This window comes from Homo sapiens, chromosome 10 (genome assembly GCF_000001405.40).
Source record: "Homo sapiens chromosome 10, GRCh38.p14 Primary Assembly".
Lineage (NCBI taxonomy): Eukaryota > Metazoa > Chordata > Mammalia > Primates > Hominidae > Homo > Homo sapiens.
Genome location: NC_000010.11, coordinates 48,891,533 through 48,912,613, shown reverse-complemented (window position 1 = coordinate 48,912,613; position 21,081 = coordinate 48,891,533). Strand labels below are relative to the sequence as shown.

The 21,081-nt window shown below is 46.3% G+C and overlaps 2 protein-coding genes across 17 annotated transcripts in view, besides 1 other annotated feature; one reads left to right on the top strand and one right to left on the bottom strand.

Annotated features, from left to right (window-relative positions):
• Positions 1-3,134, top strand: part of LRRC18 (leucine rich repeat containing 18) — a 30,361-nt gene extending 27,227 nt beyond the window's left edge. For all 8 annotated transcript variants that reach the window (NM_001378102.1, XM_011539823.2, XM_011539822.2 and 5 more), the window contains one exon: positions 2,356-3,134. In NM_001378102.1, the coding sequence (NP_001365031.1) occupies positions 2,356-2,377 (22 nt within the window). In that variant the 3' untranslated portion in view covers positions 2,378-3,134. The remainder of the gene's footprint in view (positions 1-2,355) is intronic.
• The window catches only part of WDFY4 (WDFY family member 4), a 298,084-nt gene that overhangs the window by 70,343 nt on the left and 206,660 nt on the right, over positions 1-21,081 (bottom strand). For all 9 annotated transcript variants that reach the window (XM_011539988.3, NM_001394531.1, XM_017016463.2 and 6 more), the window contains 3 exons: positions 15,040-15,160; positions 12,308-12,393; positions 10,751-10,813 (listed from right to left, as the gene is read on the bottom strand). In XM_011539988.3, coding sequence (XP_011538290.1) covers positions 10,751-10,813; positions 12,308-12,393; positions 15,040-15,160 — 270 coding nt within the window. The remainder of the gene's footprint in view (positions 1-10,750; positions 10,814-12,307; positions 12,394-15,039; positions 15,161-21,081) is intronic.
• Positions 14,536-15,296: an enhancer, noted in NCBI's record as "H3K4me1 hESC enhancer chr10:50105363-50106123 (GRCh37/hg19 assembly coordinates)". NCBI's record gives its function as "activates a minimal SCP1, AML or CMV promoter by ChIP-STARR-seq in naive H9 embryonic stem cells {active_cell/tissue: H9 hESC(naive)}" and the evidence as "EXISTENCE:reporter gene assay evidence [ECO:0000049][PMID:30033119]".

The window sequence follows — 21,081 nt, the reverse complement described above, 5'->3', positions numbered from 1 at the left end:
AGGGGCCGTGTCCCTTTGGGGAAAGCTTGGCTTGCCTGGTGCAAGCTGGAGGAGAGAGCAACTGAAATGAGATGGGGCAGAGCACCACTGTCTGAGGCATTCAGGAGATCCCAGTCGTGGATGTGCAGGGCTGGCCTGGCAAAGAGAAAAGCCAAAGATTCTGAGGTTGGACAGGTCTAGGTCCATGGCAGCTCTGCTTCTGACTTGGCATCCCCTTGGGCACCTAACATAGCTTAGGTTCCCTCACTCGTGAAGTGGGAATAATGCCACACTGAACTCCAAGTGTTCTGTGCCTCTAAAACAGGCAGCACATGGAGAACGTACTCAGCAGAAGCCAGTTTTCTTCCAGAACCATAACTTAGTTCATTGCAAAGCTGAAATACTACTTTGAACAGTGGTGCCAGTTACGCTAGATCTTTTGGTAGAAAATGACAGCAACCAAGTCAATCCTCACAATAGCTGAGAACCTTCTCTGGCCTCCCTGTGTACCACACTCTCACACCTTCATGTGGGTAAAAGAAAAGATCAAGAATGATACCTTGAGGGAGGCTTTTTTCCCCCAGGACTTTCCTATGTTGTTGGCAAGTTTGCTGAGTGGATGATGAGAAGCACCAAGAGGCATCCATCAGTGAAGTGGTATTAACTTATTTTCTCCTCACATTGTCAACCACAGCACACAGCACATTTCATTTCTTCACCCCTTGCTGCTTACTTCCTCTTGTAATGCTTAGCTATGACAACCCTATCATATTTCTAAAACCTTGGGAGATCTAGATTCAAAATTTTCATTTTAGTTTTTCCCTTTATTAAGTGTTTTTCATTGTAGAAGTAACAGAACCACAACATACTACTAAATATAGTAGCTTAAAGCATTCATCATTCTACAGTATGTCAGCTGCAATGCTGGCAGAGTTCCTTACTAGTTATTTTTCTGTATATATTTTTATACATAGTTAAAATTATAGCATTCCTGTCATTTCTGTCCTGCTTTGAAACCCATGCTGTTACCTGGTATTAATAAACACACTTTAAAACATCTGCAAGATAGTTATTCTTGTGGATATACATAACTATAAGTTACTGTTGTACCTTTAAGTTATTTTCAGTTTTCACTAATGGGAATAGTCTTGTGATGAGAGCCTATATAACTAAAACATTTTAAAATATTTTTAATTATTTCCTTGGCATAGCCTCATTATTGGAAATATTGTGTTAAAGGGTGTCTTTTAACAATAATGTTGATACATGCCATCAAGTAGCTCATAAAAGGTTTACACACATACGCCTACCAGTAACGTAGTAGAGAACCCATTTCCCGGCATCCTTGCCAGCACTAAGCACTGTCCTTCACATTTTTCTCTTCACCTACTGTCTGAAATGACTCATGAGAACCCCTTCTGAAGCTGAGGGGAGTGACCGTGTCTGAGACATGTGTGATGAGACACCATGCTGTAGGTATAGGAGCCACCGCTAGCCTGCCAGGTCTTGGACATATCCATAAGGGAGCCAATCTGCTATTTCAGTCACTTCTTCTCTGACCCAAAAGGTATAGAGTCCACGCAGAGACATATGATTGAGACAGACAGTGCCGGATAGCTACATGATGACTTTCCATTTCAATTTCTCCCCCTTCAGACACTTTTTCTTTAGAATTAATTTTCCCTCCTTAGGTATTCAAAAGGTTCAGCAAAGGAGAGAAGTTAAGAGAAACATCGAGGTTACAGAGCCCACCTGGTGCCCAGGGTTTGCTGGTCCACGTCCTCCCTTCCCCGCTGCAGCACACTTCTTGCCATGCTTGGTCCTCAACACCCTTACTTGCTGCCAACTGCTTGGCTGGCCTGACACTCACTCCAGCCTTGCTCTGGGGCTTTATCATGCTTTGCCTCTTATCACACATCTCAGGAAGGAGTTTCAAGTGCATTTAACTTTACCAGGATTGAGACATACACAGGCAGTGGGCTGGATTTGCCTCAATGCATTCAAGTCAGACACCTCTTTAGCCAGGAAATGCTGGCAGCAGGACGAAGCAGACTGGAGATAGAGACCAGTTAGGAGGCATCTTCCGCATTCTATTTCTTTTTCTGCCAAGGAAAAGGTTTGATGTTGGTGTTCCTTCATGCTCTAAAATACCTCAGTCACCTTTACTCCTTGGAAATTGTATTAAGCATAAAAATACTTCATAGGAAAGCCTTGGGTGTTCTCTTTCCTCAAATACAACAAAACCCCCATTCACACTAACCTGACCATCCTGAAGGTCAGGCATGACCTTGGTGAGCTGGTGTGACCTCTGCCCTTGCTGTGTTTGCCTCTGTGGCCTGGAGCAATTGCCTCACCTTCTTGTGTCTCCATCCCCAGAATACGCTTGACATCTTCCTAGAGTAGCTGTGGCAAAATCTTGAAGACTACTCAGCTAACAGAATAAACGACTCTGAAGAGGAGAAGCCCCCAGTTAGGAGAAGACAGAGTGGCAAGTGAGATGTTCTGGAAACCAGGCTCGCCGGAGCTGGCCAAGCCACCGACTTGCTTCTCAAATTCACTTCACCTCCCTTAGCTTTAGCCCACCTGTGTGTGAAAATGACTTTGGGAAATATTTGATGTGGTTTTTAAAATGTATATAGAAAAAAATTTAAGAAAATTACAGATTATATATTATAGACAACTAAATATTTAAGACTTTAAGACTTAAAAGGCTTACTGCCTCTACATTTCACTCAGACTAGTACATCTCAATGCCAGTAGTCTGTGATAAATTTATGTAGGTATAATGAGATACTGATATGGTTTGGGCATTTGTCTCCTCCAAACCTCATGTTGAGATTTGATCCCCAGTGTTGGAGGTGGGGCCTAATGGAAGGTCATGGGGGTGGGTCCCTCATGAATGGCCTGGTGCCATCCTTTTGGTAATGAGTGAGTTCTCACTGTATTAGATCCTGTTGAAAATTGATTGTTAAAAAGACCTTGGCACCTCCCTCTCCTCTCTCTCTCTTCCTCTCACTATGTGATGCCTGCTCCCCTTCACCTTCCACCATGAGTGGAAGCACCTATACCCCAAAGCCCTCACCAGAAGGAGGTGCCGGCACCTGTACAGCTTGTAAGAACCATGACTCAAATAAACTTCTTTTCTTTATAAATTACCTAGCCTTAAGTATTCCTTTACAGCAATGCAAATGGACTAAGATACCTCAAGCAACTCCAATTTATACAAAAAGTTATATAGAAAAATATGCTAAAAAATACTATAGATAAGGTAGGATTTTAACAAATCTTTCAATGGTGCATAGGTAGGCAGGAAAAAGAAACCAGAGAAATAAACAACAGGAAAAAAACAAAAAATAAAAATAAAATGGCAGACTTGTATTCTAACATTTTGATAATTGTAATAAATGTAAACAATCTGCTTTATTTGTAATGACCACAAAATGGAAACAACCAAATTTTGCTCAATGCACAAATTGTTAAACAAACTGGTATATTTCTATCATGGAATACTACTCAGCGAAAAGAGGAACAGACCACTGATACATGCAACAACTTGAATGTATCTCAATGGCACTATTCTCAGTTAAAAAAAAAATGCCCATCTCCAAAAGTCACATACTCTATGATTCCATGTATAGAACAGTCTGTAAATGAAAAAATAATAGATATGAAAAACAGATTCATGATTCCCAGGATTTAAGGATGGTGGGGGAAGACAGGGAGGTAGGCATAACTATAAAGTGGTAGCACAGAGATATCTTTGTGGTGATAAAATAACTGTGTATGTCGATTGTGGTGGTGGTTACTCAAATCTACATGTGATAAAATGACAAAGAGCTACGCATACACATGTACCAGTGTCAGTGTCCTGGTTCTGAAATTGTGCTATAGCTATATAAAATGTAACCATGGTAGAGGGGGATATTAAGTGAAAGGTGTACAGTGTCTCTCTGTACTATTTTTGCAACTGTGAATCAATATTTTGAAATAAAAATTAAAAAAAAAAATCTTACAGCCTAGATGCAACAATCAATAGATCCTTATACATCTGCCCAGTGCTGATTTATGAGGCACTATGGCAAGCTTAACATGAGAATCTAAAACACCGAGTCAGCCTAGATATACAATTGAGGCACAGAGTAAGGCAATTCAGGCACCTTAACCTCGGCTCAGCCGGCTAATCTAAAATTTCCCGTTGTTGATCTTATTCTTGCAGATTCCTGAAAAAGTTGCAAAATAAATAGAAACTGCATGAAATCTCTATGTCCCAGGTTTTCTGGAGGTAGCTGGGCACAGGGGGCAACTAGGATGGCAGAAACCTTGAACCAGTGGGTTGCTCATCAGCATTCCTGGGCATTTGCACACCTGTTCCCCACCCCTGGTGGTGTGGGAGCATAAAGGTTGTGGAAGCAATGTGGCTGGGTAGAGTTGGAAGGAAAAAGGGCAGGCTTGCTACAGTGACTGGGGCTTGCATCAGGCTTTTGCCCTGGAAGGGATCTGAGGTTACGGCTAAGGATACAGCAGAGATGAGGCATGAACCTAGTACAGCCAGACAAAGATGAACATGGAATGGGGCCACGGCCAAGGTCTGAGCATGACCTAGGCAGAATGGCCAGGGATCAGATGCTCATGGCCCACAAAGCCAAATGTGTGAACAAGCTCCTAGATGCTGCAGCACTGGCTGTCACTCTCATTTTGAGTCTGCAGCCAGGTGCCGTTCGCCTCTGGTCCCAGTGACTCTGGTATAGACAGAGGATATGAGTAGTTTGGTCTCCACAGTTGTGCTCCCAGGGCTTCAGTACAGCAAGAAATCCAAGGACCATGCTTCTCTACTCAGTGGTGGAGCCAGCACTACCTTTACTAGTTAAGCATTTGTGTACCTTACAGATCTGTAGCCAATGGCATGAATCTCTAGGGGGCAGGATTGAAGGAGGAGAAATGCTAGGAAGGGGAGCTTGAACTTTAGCCTCCCCCCAGCTAACTGTGGTGCCTCTGGGGTGTGGTTAATTAACATGGAAGGTCATATTCTCATGGGAATCGCATAGGTTCTTATGGTAGGTTTTTTAAGTTATTTGTCTTTCATTATTTTTCAAAGATAATCTCTAAAGGAGACAATAAACTGAAAATGTTCAACTGTAAATCTTTGCACCCCCAAAATAAATTTCATTCTAAACATTATATATGAAGAATTTATACAGTTAAGAATGATTTTAGGAACTGCAAACACCCAGGTACAATCAGGCCCTGAATACAAGCACCATCTCACACCCAGTGGCTTTCTCCAGCCCGGGGATGCTTTTGCCTCAATGACATGGTGGATGTTTCCAGTTTATCCAAAAATATGTGCTGAGCCCAAGAGAGATTTGAGAGAAAGAGAATCAGATAGGCATCCTAGCCTTGTATTTCTCTGAGTTTTCTGAAATCTGGGCTCAGTATGAACTGAGGTCATTAGAAAGCAATGTAACTGAGCCAGGTATTGTTAGCTTCCCAAAGAAATGCCTGTACAAAAATAAGTGCGAATGTTAGGCTCCCATTCATGCAGAGAACTGATACAGAGAATTAGGTTCCCCAGTACTCTTTTTGTATGTTTTATTAAAAAGGAATTGCCACCTTTGGTACCCACAATCCTTTAGAGAAGAACCAAATTTGATATTCAGCACCAAGAGAAAGTATGTTCCAGAAATAAAAAAAAAAAATCGCAAAAGCCTGTTTCTTATTATCTATCCCTGGAAAATAATATAAGCCAATATGATTGTTTGTTTTAGTTTTCTTAGTCTCAGGACAATTAGAGTAACTCACTCCACATGACCACACCTATTTTTTCCCCTTTAAAGGGGTTGGGTAATTGTTAAAGGATGGTTGTACCCTGTGTTTAATTTTGAAGCTGTCTGTAGCCCTTTCTGGAAGGGCATGAGTACATTTAAGTGTGAGGATGTGTGTTTATCCACAAGTGCATTCCAGCTAGCTGCCCCCTTTCCCTGCAGTTCCTGCCATCATTTCTCCTTTTCTGATTGGTCTTTTTACATCTCAAAAATCCTGCCGGTATTCAACACCACAGAGCAGGACTCATCCAACAGCTCTAGCTGGCATATGTTAGAAGGCCCTGTCGGCTTGCAGAACCTTGCACCCCACAGAAGTCTGAACAGGCTACCATGCTGTCTTCAAAAGGTTCAGTCCTGTACCATTGGGACAGGATTCACGCAGGCTTTGCAAGTATTTTCTACTTGGAATTCAGGCCCAGAGAGCCTTCTTAGCATATATATAGTTATGGAGGCAACCATTGTCACTGAAAGCCTCAGCAAACTCTGGTACCAAAAGCTCTGATTTTCCTGTATGTGTGGGATGGTGTCCAAAGGAGCCACATGAGTCATCAAAAGCTGAAGGTTTAGGGCATGAAAATCTGTAGCCTAGGCCAAGTGTCATGGGCCAGTTGAAAACCCTCAGAACGGCACACACACCTCGTTTATAGGTAAGAAGTCCACATTCATTAGAGTGACTAACAAGCAGCTAGGCATTTTTCAAGACTCATTCTATGATTATTGCCTCCAGTGATCCAAAAGAAAAATCATCAGCTTCATTCCAGGCATATGTCAGTGGCCAGCCAAGCCCTCCTAAGGCTGAGGGCCACCACTGCCTTCCCACCCTGGAGCTCCTGAAGCCACAATTGGGCTGGCAAGAGAAGGGCTGGAAAGGGGGCCACTCCGAGGAGCTGAGAGCAAGGAGAGCCACCTGCTTTTAATCAATTCTTCTGTTAACATGCCCAAACACACATCAGGTGATTCTAAAATTAGGCAGAAGGATTACAATTTACTGGGCACCTACTATGAGCCCAAATCAGCTTGATCCTGAAGCCCGGGGCTGTTTATTTAGCACAGTCTTGCCACATGCCCTCACTGCATGGGTGGCCTCAGAGCCGAGGGTCAGCACTCTGCGGGGTGTCCGCATTTTGCTGAGGCTCTCCTTCCATGAACTGAGATGAGCATTCCTCTGAAGCACTAAGCACTGTTCCTAGATGACCCCAGAAGCTTCTCCAAGGGTCTCCAACCTGGAGCTGTGCTGAGACTGTGCCAGGAATGACCCAGCATAGCCCTGGAAGACCCTGCTCCAGTGGGATCAGGTAGCCATGATGGCAAAAATAATCACATTGGAAATAAAATCAGAATGGGGCTCAACTGTACCACAGAAGCAAGGTGGTACACAGGTTGGCATTGCAGGTCATCATCAACCTGGGGATGAGTAAGGAGTAATCTCCAGACATTTGACTCATCTACAAAACATCATCTTCCTCCAACCTGGCAATCATTTCTGAGGGGCCTCTAACTTAGTGGGCACAGCTGGGGGTAAGCTCCTCTTCTGCATTCCTCCCTCTGCCCCTCCTCTACCTGCCCCTCTATATTTGGAGTAGAAGGTATGTGGAGGAAGGTAAGTGTTTCCAGGCAAGGCAACACTAAGATTCTGAGGACAAAAGACAAATAATGGACAGAGAGCTACCCACAGTCATAGGGACAGCTATGCTGTCACTGAGTGACATTACAGAATAGGTTCATCAAAGGGTGAGCTGCAGAGACAATGGAGCCCAGTGAAGTGATGTGTGTCATGATTGATGCAGCATTGCTCCAGGGAGAGAGAAAACCATCTGCAGCCCATGAGTGCTGCGGCTTGGAACTTCCCTCTGCGTGGAACCATGTGTGGCCACCTGCTTTTGCTGACACCCTTAGTGCTCACCCCCTTGTGGATAACAGAACCTTGATTTTCTCAGGGAACCATACTCCCCTCAATTTGGTCTATGTAGTTGGGTGGGACTGACCCTATCCCCAGAAGCTGGGCGGGTACATCCCTCCGATCCAGCCAATGAAAACACTTGATTGGTTCTGGGATGGGCATGTAATTAACCTAACTGGGGAAAATGACAGTTTGGGAAGTTTTGCTAAAGTTACCGGGATAGAGCATGTACGGTGTGTGGTGGGATTCCTGCATGATTGACTGTCAGTCTGGAGCTGTTGGGGGCATCGGTGCCCCTGTGATGAGAACGCCTATGAGAAATGGAGCCAGGCCAAGTAAAATCCTCCCTGAGAGAGGGAGAGCCACCACTTCCTGCAGACTTACTTGTGCCTAGCGGTCCAGCCATGCCTGGAGCCAGACCATTTTTGACCTTCAGGTAGATGCTATCATGAATCCTCTTTTTTGCTTCAATTAGTTTGAAATAGCTTTTTACCTTGTACTGAAACAGTGCTGAGAAATCCAAGTATGAACATAAAGGCTTATATGAAACATAAACAATATGAGATCAGCAGGGCTGAGATTCAGCAGATATGCACAATTAGGACTATCCTGTTGTTGAACTATTAAACTATGCCCATTACAGTTGGTAAACAGCCACCCCAACTCCAGCGACCCACTGCTGCCCGGGTCCCCTGGACCATACCCTGGCATGCCTTGCACTTCACCACAATCTATAAAGGGTAAGTGCCTGGCACAATAGGAGCCTCTGCTGGTAGCCACTGCAATTAGTCTATTGAAGGTCATCAATGACTCTCATGTTACAAAGCTCAATGGTCATTTCTCAGTTCTTATCCCACTTGGCCTACCAACAACACTTGACCACTCCCACCTTGAGTCACTCTACCTGGCTTCCAGGATGTCTTCCACACCTACAGTTTCTGCTACCTTTCTGGCTACTCCTTCCCCATCTCTTCAGCTGGCTCTGCCCATGTCCTTACCAGAGGGTAAGTTTGGTGTGCCCAGGGCACAGTCCTCTGATCTCTTTTCCATGTGCATCCATTCTTGATAATCTTGCCCATTCTCATCACTTTAAACACTATTCTAAATTTATGTCTCACTTGAACCTCTCTCTTGAACTCCAGATTCATATGCCCAATAGCTCCATGATGTCTTTGAGATGTATGATAGGCATCTCAAAATTCACATGTCTAAATCTGAGCTTCAGATAGCCACAGTGGCCCTACAGCCACTCTTTCTCTGATCATCCTCATTTAATTTTCCAATTGCTGAAGCCTAAATCCTCTGTCTTATCCTTAAGTCCTCTGTCACATACATGCATTTCTCACACTTGATTTGTCATCAGATCCCATCAAATGTACCTTTAAACATGTCCATAATCTGATCACATCATATTATCTTTGCTTTCATGTTCCTGATCCAAGCCACCATCATCTCTCACCTGGATTACTGCAACAGCCTCCAGCAATAGCTTCCTAACTAGTCTCCAGCTTCTGCCTTTGACCCACTCCAGTCTATTCTTGGCACAGCAGCCAGAGTGATTCTTATTAATATGTCAGTTCACATCAACCCTCTGCTTAAAATCCTCCAACGCTTCCCATCTATTTGGAATAAAAACCGACATGAGAATCTTGCACCAACTATCCCCTGTGACCTCCCTCACCTCCACCCCAACTAACTCCCTGCACTCCAATTTGATAAGCCTCAGCCATGCCTTGCTCTTCCCTGGGTCTGACACACTCTTTACTCAATTAACTGCATAACATGTTTCTCCACCTTTTTTTTTAGACAGAGTCTTGCTCTGTCGCCCAGGCTGGAGTGCAGTGGCGCGATCTCAGCTCACTGCAACCTCCACCTCCTGGGTTCAAGCGATTCTCCCACCTCAGCCTCCCAAGTAGCTGGGATTACAGGCACCTGCCATCATGCTTGGCTAAGTTTTTGTATTTTTATAGAAACAGGGTTTCACCATGTTGGCCAGGCTGGTCTTGAACTCCTGACCTCAGGTGGTCTGCCCACCTTGGTCTCCCCAAGTGCTGAGATTACAGGAGTGAGCCACCACGCCCGGCCAAGTATTAATTCAAAGATTGTTTTCTTGATAAGGGCTTCGCTTGCCACCTCATCTAAGATTTCAATGCCCACCTCTATCTGCTTGGTTTTTTACACTTACACTTATAATTATCTAATATGCTTTATAGTTCACTCATTTATATTGGTTTATGTCTGTCCTCCTGGTGAGAATGTGAACTCAATAAGGACAGGGGATTTTTTTTTTCTATTTGCTTGTTGCTCCATCAACAAGCAAATACCATGTATCACAAGCTATTAATAAATAATTTTGAAGGAATTAGTGAGACCCATTTTATACTGATTATAAATATCTTGAATGTCATTCCTGGGGACACCCTCTTGATTGGTCCCCACACATTCCTGTAGAAAACCAGCTACCACCTTCTTCTATTCTCACCCCGACTGAAATAAAAACACCTACTGATCCCTAAGTGGCCTTCCAGAGAACTGGGTAGCTGGAAAGGGGACCTGGCGGCGGCGGGGGGGACTGCAAGCAATTCATTCACTGGGAGAGACGCCCCATAGCACAGATTCCTAAATTAATGTCTGATTCGCACACCAACTTGTATGAATTTAGCTTCTAAGCGTTCAGAAACCCTCATCACAGGAGGGACAGCATGGGATTGCTCACACACCCCCATGGGAGGGCCTGACCTCCAAGGCTGGGCCTGACTCCACACCTCTGTGCCACCTGCCCAGTCACCAAAGGCAGAGGATGGCTTCCTGCCACTTGGGTCTGAAAAAGCCACAGGGCATGTGAGACTTCAAGTCTGTTCACAGAGGTTTAACTGGCAGAAGGAATTTCAGGAGTAGGATGAAGGATGTATAGGAATAGGAGAGAGAAAAATGAGGGAAACTGTTGGGCATGCTCTCTGCAAGACTTCTTTAGAGTGGGATGAGGCAGAGGAGGAACATCAAAGCCAGGGCAGTGCCATGCCCAGACAGCATGGCTACCCGCCATTACCTTAGACTGAGGGTGTCCTCCGAGGTGGCTTTCCCCTTCAGGCTGGGTTGGAAAGAGCAGAAGCTACATGAAAAGGGAAGGGATAATTCCATCAGCAGAGTCAAGACCCTTTCTCCTGCTGCAGAGGCATTTCCGGAGTCAGGCAGGAAGCTAGGCTCATTATTGCTCCCCCTCGCTCCATCCTGCCCCCAGGTCGTGAACACCAGGCCTGGGTGTACCTCTGAGGCAACCCTCAGCACTCTCTGGCATTACACACTATTGCCTTAATACCAACAATGACAACAATAAAACAATAATTACTTAGGCAGTGTGTGTGAGGTACCGCCTCTGGGCCAGGCAGTTGACAACATTGCCAATGTCAACAATCCTGCTGTACATTCCAGTGCGTTGCTGTGAGGACAAATGCCATCTTAATGCCAGGCTCCTTGAGCCGAGTGGGTAGTGGTTGTGGAGTCTGCATTAGGCCACCTTCACATCCTGAGCTATGGAGGTGTAAGATTTCTAGATCAACTGTGAAAAACTTTGTTTAATGAACAGAAACCATAGGGGGAAATGAATCAAGTTTAATGGGTTGTATGTCTGCTTGTTTGGTTTGGTCTAAACTAGGCCTTGAATATAATTTTAGGGGGCAATCTAGCAGCAGCATGGAAGAACCGCATGAGCAGGCTCACCTGAGTCCAAGGAAGTGCGCCTAGAACTAGCACAAAAGCCTCTCTACAGTTGTTTTTCTCCACCCTGGCCCTGCCTCTTGGATGCAGTAGTGGGCCCTGGGTGCCAGTTCCACAGGGCCACTAGAAGGCAGGGCTTGAATTTCTGAGCACAAAATGGGCTCCTTGGCCAGGGGATATCAAATCTCACCTCAGAACTTCCAGCCCATGTGGAGCAGCACATAACCACTCCCTCTGTTAATCAGCCTCTCTGTGGTCTATAATGATGAGGAACTGACCTTCCTTTCTGTTCTTTCTAGATTCACTACAAACCAATCTACTGATCTATAACTTTAATGGTAATAAAAACAAATAACCATGGTATTAAGAACTTACACACTGGCTTAGATTTCTTAAACTGATCCATCTGGAGAAAAACATGTTCAGTGCACATGTGGGAAATCAGTTGTTTGGAATTCCTTCCAATGAAATATGAAATTGGAGCAACTAAAATTGGCAACTGGGATCAGAAAGAAAGATTAAGCCAAAAAAATTACTTGGAAAATTAGAAAATAAAGCCAGAACATTCTGGAAGGCCCATTAAACAGCCAGTTCCTTAACTCTGTGGTAGCTGCGTAATTTTTTTCTCACTTCCTGTTCTATGCCACTTCAGTTCAGGAAAATGGAGCCTGCTTCCTAGGACTGAAGGAAGGGCCTTCTCTGCCTGTTCCTGTACATCATTTCATGACTTGGCAGTTCTGCAGGCCAGCAGTGCCTCCCTGGGCCCAGCCTGAGTGGCGTTCACTGTGGGTTGAGAACACTTTTCCTGAGCACAGAGCTGAGTGTTCTCTGCCCCTCTGCTCTCAGTTCAGGATCAGTTTCCTCAGAAGGAGGATTTTCAAGCTCTTACCTTTTAAAGGCCTTACTCCGATCATTGTTGTAGAAGACAAGAAACTTGGAATATCCATTGTGGAAGAAGATCTCCAGGGCGATGTCCTGTGAAGAGAAGCCCCTTTTAATGCTCCTGATATTTTGTGGACTAGAGACGCCCCAGGGTGACACAGCTGCTGGAAATGGGTCATTGCGGGTCTCCGTGTCAGAAGACCCTTCCTGGGTCGTCCTTTTGAGTTCCCATGGTAGGAAGACCTTGGTGACAGGGATGGGGTGCTTCTGCAGAATGTGTGGGAGGGCAGGGGGCCTGACCACAGCTTGGAGTTCTGTTGAAGCAGGAAGCGAAAGGTCCACTCCCAGGGCAAGCGTGAAGCAGACACGAGAGAAAGCACCCATGCCATCCTCAGACTTTTTCACTTCTGAGTTATGGCATGGGTGAGCCAGGGGGTCAACTTACCAGAAACTGAACTAGGGAATCTAGTTCAGTGCGTGCAGCTGGGCAGCATCATGGGTTGATCTACAGACTTAAGCAGCACAGGGTCCCCTGCCGAGGCCATTTTGATGTGGCCCCACTGGCATAGTAAAGTTTTTGTCAGGGGTATTTCCTTAATGCCTAAATTAAATTCACATAACTATCTTTTCTTTTTTTTTCTCCCACCCTTGTTTCCTCTCTAACTCCCTTCTATTCCAAGCTATGTAAATAATAAACTTGGAATAAGAGATAGAGTGAGTTACCTATAAGATAAGCCTCAGGGATGAGATGAGGCCAAGGAGAGAGAATTCCCAGGGCTGAAGGGAGAGTTAGGGAGAGAAGAGACCTGTACATGGAGGGAAGGATGGGGTGGGGTAAGATTCAGACTCAGAGGTGGGTACTGCACCCAATAGCAGAGTCCTGTCCTGCATCTACCTGGCTGGAAGTGAGTTCTCAAAGTCCAGTTCATTAACTCTCCTGAGCAGAGAGAAGGTATCTGCAAGGATGTTGCATACCTTCTCTCCTCTGCTAGTGAACAGGAGACTCTTGGATTTTTTTCTACAAATAGAAATATAAATAATGTGCAAAACAGGAAGTGAATGCAGAATTTGTGGAGGGTACAGCTTGCCCTGGATACCTTGAGTGCCAAGCTCTGCCTTTCTCCTGGGAGAATCCAGGGATGGACAAATGGTGGCCTTGCTCAAAAAGCTCTCCCTTTGGCTTCCACCACTTCAGGTGAACCAACCCTCTGGAAACAATCACCATGTACTTGGGGAAAAAACCCCACTGACTGATACCTATCTGCTACTCTATATAACATGTGAGGTAGACATATAATCATAAAAAATAATTTTGAGTACCTATTTTGTGCCTAAAATTGTACTCAGTGCTGTATGTATAATAGTGGAAAGGCAGGACACGGCCTCCCGCTCACTGAAGGGCAAGGAAACCAGAGAGGTGCCCACAGGAGCTAATGTGGCAGAGCTGAGGTGGAGATTGGCCCAGAACCAGCAGCACTGCCCAGAACCATCAGGGCAGGGCTGCTACTTCCACTCTGCTCTTCCTGCTCCTTCACCCTGCAAAGGCCCTCAGGAAGCTCAGGCAAAATGAGAACTAACTGTGTTGCAGGCAAAAGCAGCAGAGGGAGGAAGAGTGCTCATTAGAGGGCTAGAGTGGAGCTGCTGGCAAACCCTTGACAGGAGGGCAGCTGGGGCCTTTCAGGAATTCCCCCACCTTAAAGGCCACCCTGAGCTTCAGTTTCAGAGAATGATAGTGAGCCCTCTTGCAGGAGGGGTCACTGGATGAATCAATGACCTACGTACAGAAAATAGATTTACAAATGAAAAATGTCTAGTTCATCTAGGCCAAGCACTGCTCTCTTGCTGGCCTTTGGAACTAAGTGATCCTGTAGAGAGGGTGGGAAGAGATCCTGACCCTCCTGTTACGTGGTCCCTAGGATCCCCTTTTCTGCCAGCTGCCCTGGAGGCCCAGGGACTGGGGATGCAGCTTTGCTATTGCTGAGCTTGGGGTAATGAAGGCAACATGTGTTTGATGTCACTGGGGGCCCCTGAAGTTTACCCTACTCCCTTTGCTGCTCAGGTGATGTTTCTAGAAAGTGTGATCTATCTGTGAAGTGGGATGAGAAGTGGGAGGTTATGACCAGCTTATGGCTGAGCTTTTCCTCTGAAAGGAGCCACCATCACTGTTGCATGCCTGGCTAAGCCCTTGAAGGCATGGGTGAGGCACTGAAAGATCCTGGTTGGAGGGGGCAGCTGGGAGATCCCTAAACCACTTGGCCCCAGAAACAGGGCCAAGCAGGAGCTTGGCAATAGGCGAGCACCTTGGGGAGAAAGGGGGAGAGTATGTCAGCAAGGGAGGTCTTACCCCTGTGGGCAGGACAGGGCAGAAGGCACTCTACTCCCAGTTATCAGCTCTACTGGGAGGTAATGTATCTGTCCTGCCCTGTATTCCTAAATCTCCAAGGCAGCTCTGGGCTGTGTCAAGAGCAAAACAGCGAAGCAGCTAAATCCTAAAAGACACAGCAAAAGGCCCAACAGCCAACGGCAAGGACTGCAGAGTGGAGCAGAAGTCAGAACTCCCACCTGGGACCAGGGCCACCACAAGCCCAGGGAACTTGCGGGTGTCTCCTTAAGGGCACTGGGCTGTGCATAGGCACAAAGAAGAGTCACAGAGGTGTGTCTCTGGATGGCTCCTGGACCACCTGTCCCATGGCCCTGCCTCTCGCAGGCCCCAGGCGTGCCAGCACCCAGTGTGCTTACCTGCAGGAGGAAGCGAGCCTGCCGTAGCTCCCGCATGTCAGCGTAGCTGTGGCACTGGCACGAGTAATGGTCAGTGGACCTGTCTTTGCTGCACAGGTTGAAAATGAACGGATCGCTGATGCTGAAAAGGAAACAGGCATGCAGGGCACATGTTCAGACATCAGAGTGAGGACACGTGCAGGCTTCTTCTTCTTCCTGCCCTCCACCAGCTCCACCCACATTTCCAATGACACATCAGAGAAGTGCGGTGGTCACTGCCAACCAGTGTGCTAGCCCTACTCATCTGAGAAATCCTTGCTGAGTGCTTGCCCATGTCAGCTCTAGCACTGGCCGCTGACACGTGAAAGCTGCCCTGCCCTGGAGGAACAGGGTGGGGTGCCAGCCTCACCAGGCCAGGGGACAGCAATATGACGGCGCAGTTTCCAGGATGATGCTGACAAAGGGTATGAGGGTCGGGGTGAGAAGGCCCCTGGGTGAGAGTGGGGGCCAGCAGGGAGGGCTTCATGGGTCCTGTGCGTGACTGTAAACCATGCCCAGGAGCCCTCGTGGGTTCCTGTGGCCTCTCTTCCCTGGCTCCCCCATGCCCAGCCTGGCGCTGTGCCAGCTACCTCTGCCCAGGCGTGACAGTCTCAGCCCCAGGATACCTGCCGTGCCACACACCTTAGTCCCTCTGCCCAGGTGTTCTCGTTTTGTATTGAATGACCTCTTTCCCTGGCAGGGCTGAGGGGCTGGACAAGGTAACTGAGTCAGGTGTGGCCTGTGGCTGCCACAGGGACTGACAGGACTCAGACCCTTCATGGCAGGATTGGGGAGTACAGAGCACTTGGCAGGGAGGTTTGAGGGAAGTCAGGTGACTGTGAGACTGAATGCAAACCAGAGTTAGGAGGGGTCAGGCACCACAGGGAAGAGGAGGGAGTGGAGCAGAGGAAGGCAAAGAGGCCGCTGGCAAGGCATGAGGACAGCACCTAGAGCTCATCTGCACAGCGCCTGCATCCTGAGAGGCTGCCCAGCCTGGCCTGGGCCCTGGCAACCTTCAGGATGAGGTCTCTTCAGAGGTGAGTGAGGCTCTCACTGAGACTGTAGAGTGATGTCTCGTGTCAAACCAGGGAGCTCTTCAGGACCCTTGGCCTGTCTCCCTGACATCTTCGGCAGCCCTGAGAGCTATCTGGCTCTCAGCTGAGCTGCCCCTAAACATCTCTGACTCCCAGTGGGGCCATAGTGGTAATTCTCCTTCCTACCCTTGGCTTAGGTCAAACCACATCCCAGGTCAAGGTACTGGTGGGGATGACATAGCCACTCATCTGTGCTCCCAGCATCCATGCTAACAGGAACCACAGCAAATATCCTTTGCCCCTTGGCGGCATGTCTGACTGGTCTGTCTCCCCTGCAGACCATACAAAGGCACAGGCCTGAGCTGCTGGGTATACCCAGCCCAGGACAAAGAGGTGTACTGAATTCTGAAGCGATTGCTCAGTCACACAGCAGAAATAACTTCCTGAAAGCCAGAGCTCATTCAGTTTGCAAGACCCAGGCTGGACAGAGAAAATGTAGGGAGTGCATCTTAAAATTCCCAGGCCAGGCCTGGAGCAGTGAGAAGCAATCTTGGAGAGGTGATAAGGAACTCACTGAAAAGGCAGAGAAGGGACCCACGTGTGATGAGGGACCCACCTCCTGGGCACCTGGAGGAACAGAGGCATGCCTCCAGCAGGCATCAGGCAGTCCCGAGATGAGGCCCCTTGGAGAGTTATGAGGGGTGTGCAGGAAGCTTTTCCAGAAAGATCTCAGAGTGACCCCTCCTCCCAGAGAAGCAGAAGAGAGGAGGGGAAAGGGAGGATAATAAATTTGTCCAAATATTTATTCCCAAAGAGAACAATTTGTACACTGGAAATAACTGAAATGCCTTGAGCTAATCATATGAAGCTTTTCATCATCTGGACACATGGGAGCTTCAGAAATAAAGTTGATTTCTGTTATAGACAGTTACATTTCTGAACATCTGGGGCATGTAGTCATCTTAAATTGTGTATACAACCACAGCCATTCTGATAAGATGCCAGGACTAAGAAACGAAGGCCTCCCAAGCACGCCAGCCCTCAAGAAGCCTGTGTGCCAACCACAGGCCCAGAGAGCCAAGGGCTACAAAGGCCCCTGCCCCAAGGTGGTCCTGCCAGCCCCAGCCTAAGGTGACAGGGAGTGGGTGAGGAAATTGTTTCAGCTTCTCCCATTCCAGCTCCCAGTGTGGTCCCCAAGGCCCAGCCTACAATGTAGCCCATGGAGCCTCCATGCCCCACTTCTTGGGGAAGTTGAGAGAGGCCAAGCAGTCACAGACCCAGAGGGAATTCTCTAGTCTATGGTCAGTGGCAGTCCAGCATGTGCAGTACTAAGAGCTTCGACTTGTGCTGGGCAGCAGGGAAGCCTGCCCAAGTGAGACACAGCCTGAGCCCCTTGCTTAGGCCCCTGAACAGCTGGGCTTTGAGGTTGCAGACTCAGGCTCTCTGCAGACCCTTCTCAGAACAACCCTCCCAGGCCCTCTCCTCTAAGCCGCATTGTGGTAGGATGGATCAAACACAAAACACCGCTTTGGTTCTGAATGCTTCTGCCAGGATGCTTTAATACAAACCGGCTGCTGGCTGAGGTCCTTTGTCCATTATTAATGTCTCTATCTGGATCTCAGCTGAGCTGCTCCTACACATCTCTGACTCCCAGTAAGGCCACAGAGACAATTCTCCTTCCTACCTTTGGCTTAGGTCTAGCAGCATCCCAGGTCAAGGTACTGGTGGGGATGACATGGCCACTCCTCTGTGCTCCCATCATCCCATGCTTGTGGGAACCACAGAAAATATTCTCCATACCTTAGCTGCAGGTCTGGCTGTTCTCTCTCCCCTGCAGACCCTACAAGGCGCAGGTCTTTGCCCATGGCTCTCCGTCCTCTGTATCTTCCCCTGAGCTCAGGACATGTTTGCTAAGTGACTGTCATGCTCTCTGGCCTGCCAAGCATTTCCCTATTCATTATTTAATTGGATCCTCATAAGGAAACCTTATACTGACCATGACTTATTTTTATTCCCATATCATAAATGAGGAAACTGCATTCCAGAGAGGTGAGACTTTTCCAAGGTCATGTGGTCCTCAAGAGGTGAAACTTGGTTTCAAACCCAGGTCCTCCAACTCTAACACCCATGCTCTTTCAATAGTGCCTTTTCTCCCTGGAGGCAGAAATGCTCCCTAGCTTTTACAGAGCTCTACCACTGGCTCACTGCTTTCAGTTTGCTCTGTGCTGACTGTTTCTGCAACTCAGGACTCTGAAACACAGATGACATATGGAAGAATGCTCTGGAAAATGGTAACGAGCTTTTAGGAGAAAAGATAGTCATTTTCCTCCTGCTTGTAGAAACTGAATAGCCATATAGAGGATGGATCCTCAGAAAGACCCAAAGTCTCAGAAAAGCTAAATTATGTACATTATTGATTCCCCTGATTGACTTCCAAATTGAGGTCTATCATATGTAACATTCACACAGCTGTGATTGGGAGTCTTCGACAATACTACACCCTACATGTTCTACAAAATGAATCGAATTTCAGGCAGTCAAGGGTACTGGGTAGAAGGGGCAGCTGATCCATATTCTTTGGGTAGAGCCATTACCATAGTTCAGAGGCTGCCATTCACAGTTCGTCAGCATAACAGCCAGCAGGATCTGCAAAAACTGTCCATGTGCTTAGGATAACTGTCAATATTCTGACTAGATAAATCACAGTGAGATAAATGATAGTTATGATATTGGTTGACCTGTTCTTTGATAGTAGAAGTGGATTTCAGGATAAAACATACTTCGATTTGGCCCACATTTGAAGTTACCTGACTGTTGCCAGAATTATACCTGGAATTTATACCCAGAAACATTCACTAGATTGTAAACTCTCTACCCGATTTAGTCCACATCTAATTCACTCTTTCCATCTATGGAGTCCACCATAGTGCTGAGCATAAGACAGATTTTCAATAAATATTTGTTGAACTGAATAAAACAGAAATGATGCATTAAAACTGCTCACTGATGGGGAAGAATTATCTGATTTAAAATACTCTATCACAAAGAGCCTGTTGGATGACTTAGGTTCCCACTAAGTTAATCAAATTCTCTGCCTTGTGAGCTTGAATGCCCTTGTCATGGGTAGAACCGTGTCCCCCAAAAGAGATATGTTGAAATCCTAACCCTCAGTACCTCACACTGTGATTGTATTTGAAAACAGGATATTTACAGAGGTAATCAAGTTAAAATGAAGCCATTGGGATGGGTCCAAATCCAACCTGACTGGTGTCCTTATAAAAAGGGAAAATTTGGACACGGAGATAGACACACAGAGGGAAGATGATGTGAAGATACAGGGACAAGATGACCAGGTGCCTGAATCAATGCATCTCAAAGCCAAGGGATGCAAAGGATTGTCTGCAAACACAAGAAGCTTAAAGAAGCAAGGAAGGAGGCTTCCCTAGAGCAGTCAGAGGAAGCATGGCCTTGCCTTGGTTTCATGCTGCCAGCCTCTAGGACTATGAAACAACACATTTCTGTTTTTTTGTGTGTGTGCATTTGTTTGTTTTTTGCCACCCAGTTTTTGACTGCCCTAGCAAATGAATACAGCCACCCTAATCAGCTAAGAAAGGGACTTACTACAAGCAAAAGCTAACCTTCTCAGAAGGCTGTTAGTTTCTGAGGAAATTTCCAAAGTGCAAAGTGCAAATTCCAGTCACTGTCAAGGAGTCTGTAATGTTCTTGAGTCTGATTTTGGATGTTTTTATGGTACATCGGACAGGCTCTTTCAAGGTCTAATGTGCAACTGACTCAATTCCATAGCAGTCTTTTACAGAAACATTTCAGGTTTGACTTAGCTTTATTTTTAACAAGTTTATTTATGTATCTTCTTTAATCTCCATGGTCAAAATAAGACTTAATCCCCATTGATCTGGAATGATCTAATAGTCTGTCTCAGAACTGCATCTCCAGGAATGCTAGTAGTTTCTTAGGGCACCAGATGAGACCCTGGAGAGAAAGCACTGATTAACAAATGCTTCTTTGAGGTATGGTGACTAAAACTATCTGGGCACTTCCCCAGTGCAATTCCAGGGTAGTAATTTGTTCTCACTCTACTCCTGCTTGCATTCTAGAGAAGTACATTTTCAGACATGAGAAGTCTCCCTTGTCTGTCATTGCAAATCAAGTGAGTACATAAAATCTGACCACTGGGCTTCTATTAAAAGTGCAGATATAGTGAATTTGATCATGATTAGGTACACCTCATAAACACAATTTACCTAATCAATAAGATCTTATCTAACACTATCTAAACCAGAGGTGAAGAGCACAGCAGTGGATTATGTGAGTCATCACAGGGGCACACCGTGCATATGGATAGAGTAGAAAGCTTTCATCCGCTCTCAGAGAGGCACGGCTGCAGGCCCATTGTCCATATTGATCAGTATCAATAAAACATGAGCAATAAGATGGGATGAGGAGCCAAGTATTAATTATGCTTCTCCTGCCTTGGAGAAGCACAGAAGACTCACAGCAATCGGTGAACATTTGGTATGAATAAAATATGGAAATTAGCAGAGAGAAAAATGCCAAGCATTTTAAAGCATTTTGATCTAAATCAACCAAGGTGGGCTGACATCTACTCTTCCGCACTCCTTCAACTCTTTCTTCCTTACATAGGTTGGAAGTGATAGGACAACTGGAAGTTAAAGTTCTTGGTTATTGGCAGATAAGACTTGGACTCCTCAGTCAGCAGCCTAAAACAGTAGCTCTCAAAGTGTGGTCCCAGACCAGCAATAGAATCAGCATCAGCTGGGAACTTACTAAACCTCAGGCCCTGCCCCAGACCTACTGAATTAGAAACTAGGGTGGGGCAGGACCCAGGCATCTGTGTGCTAACAAGCCCTCCAGGCTATGCTGGTGTCAGCTAGTTTGAGAGCGACTGGGCTAAGAAGTCATCTTGTCATTATCTGAACCTGGGTCAACTGGAAAAGGCAAGGCCTATCTC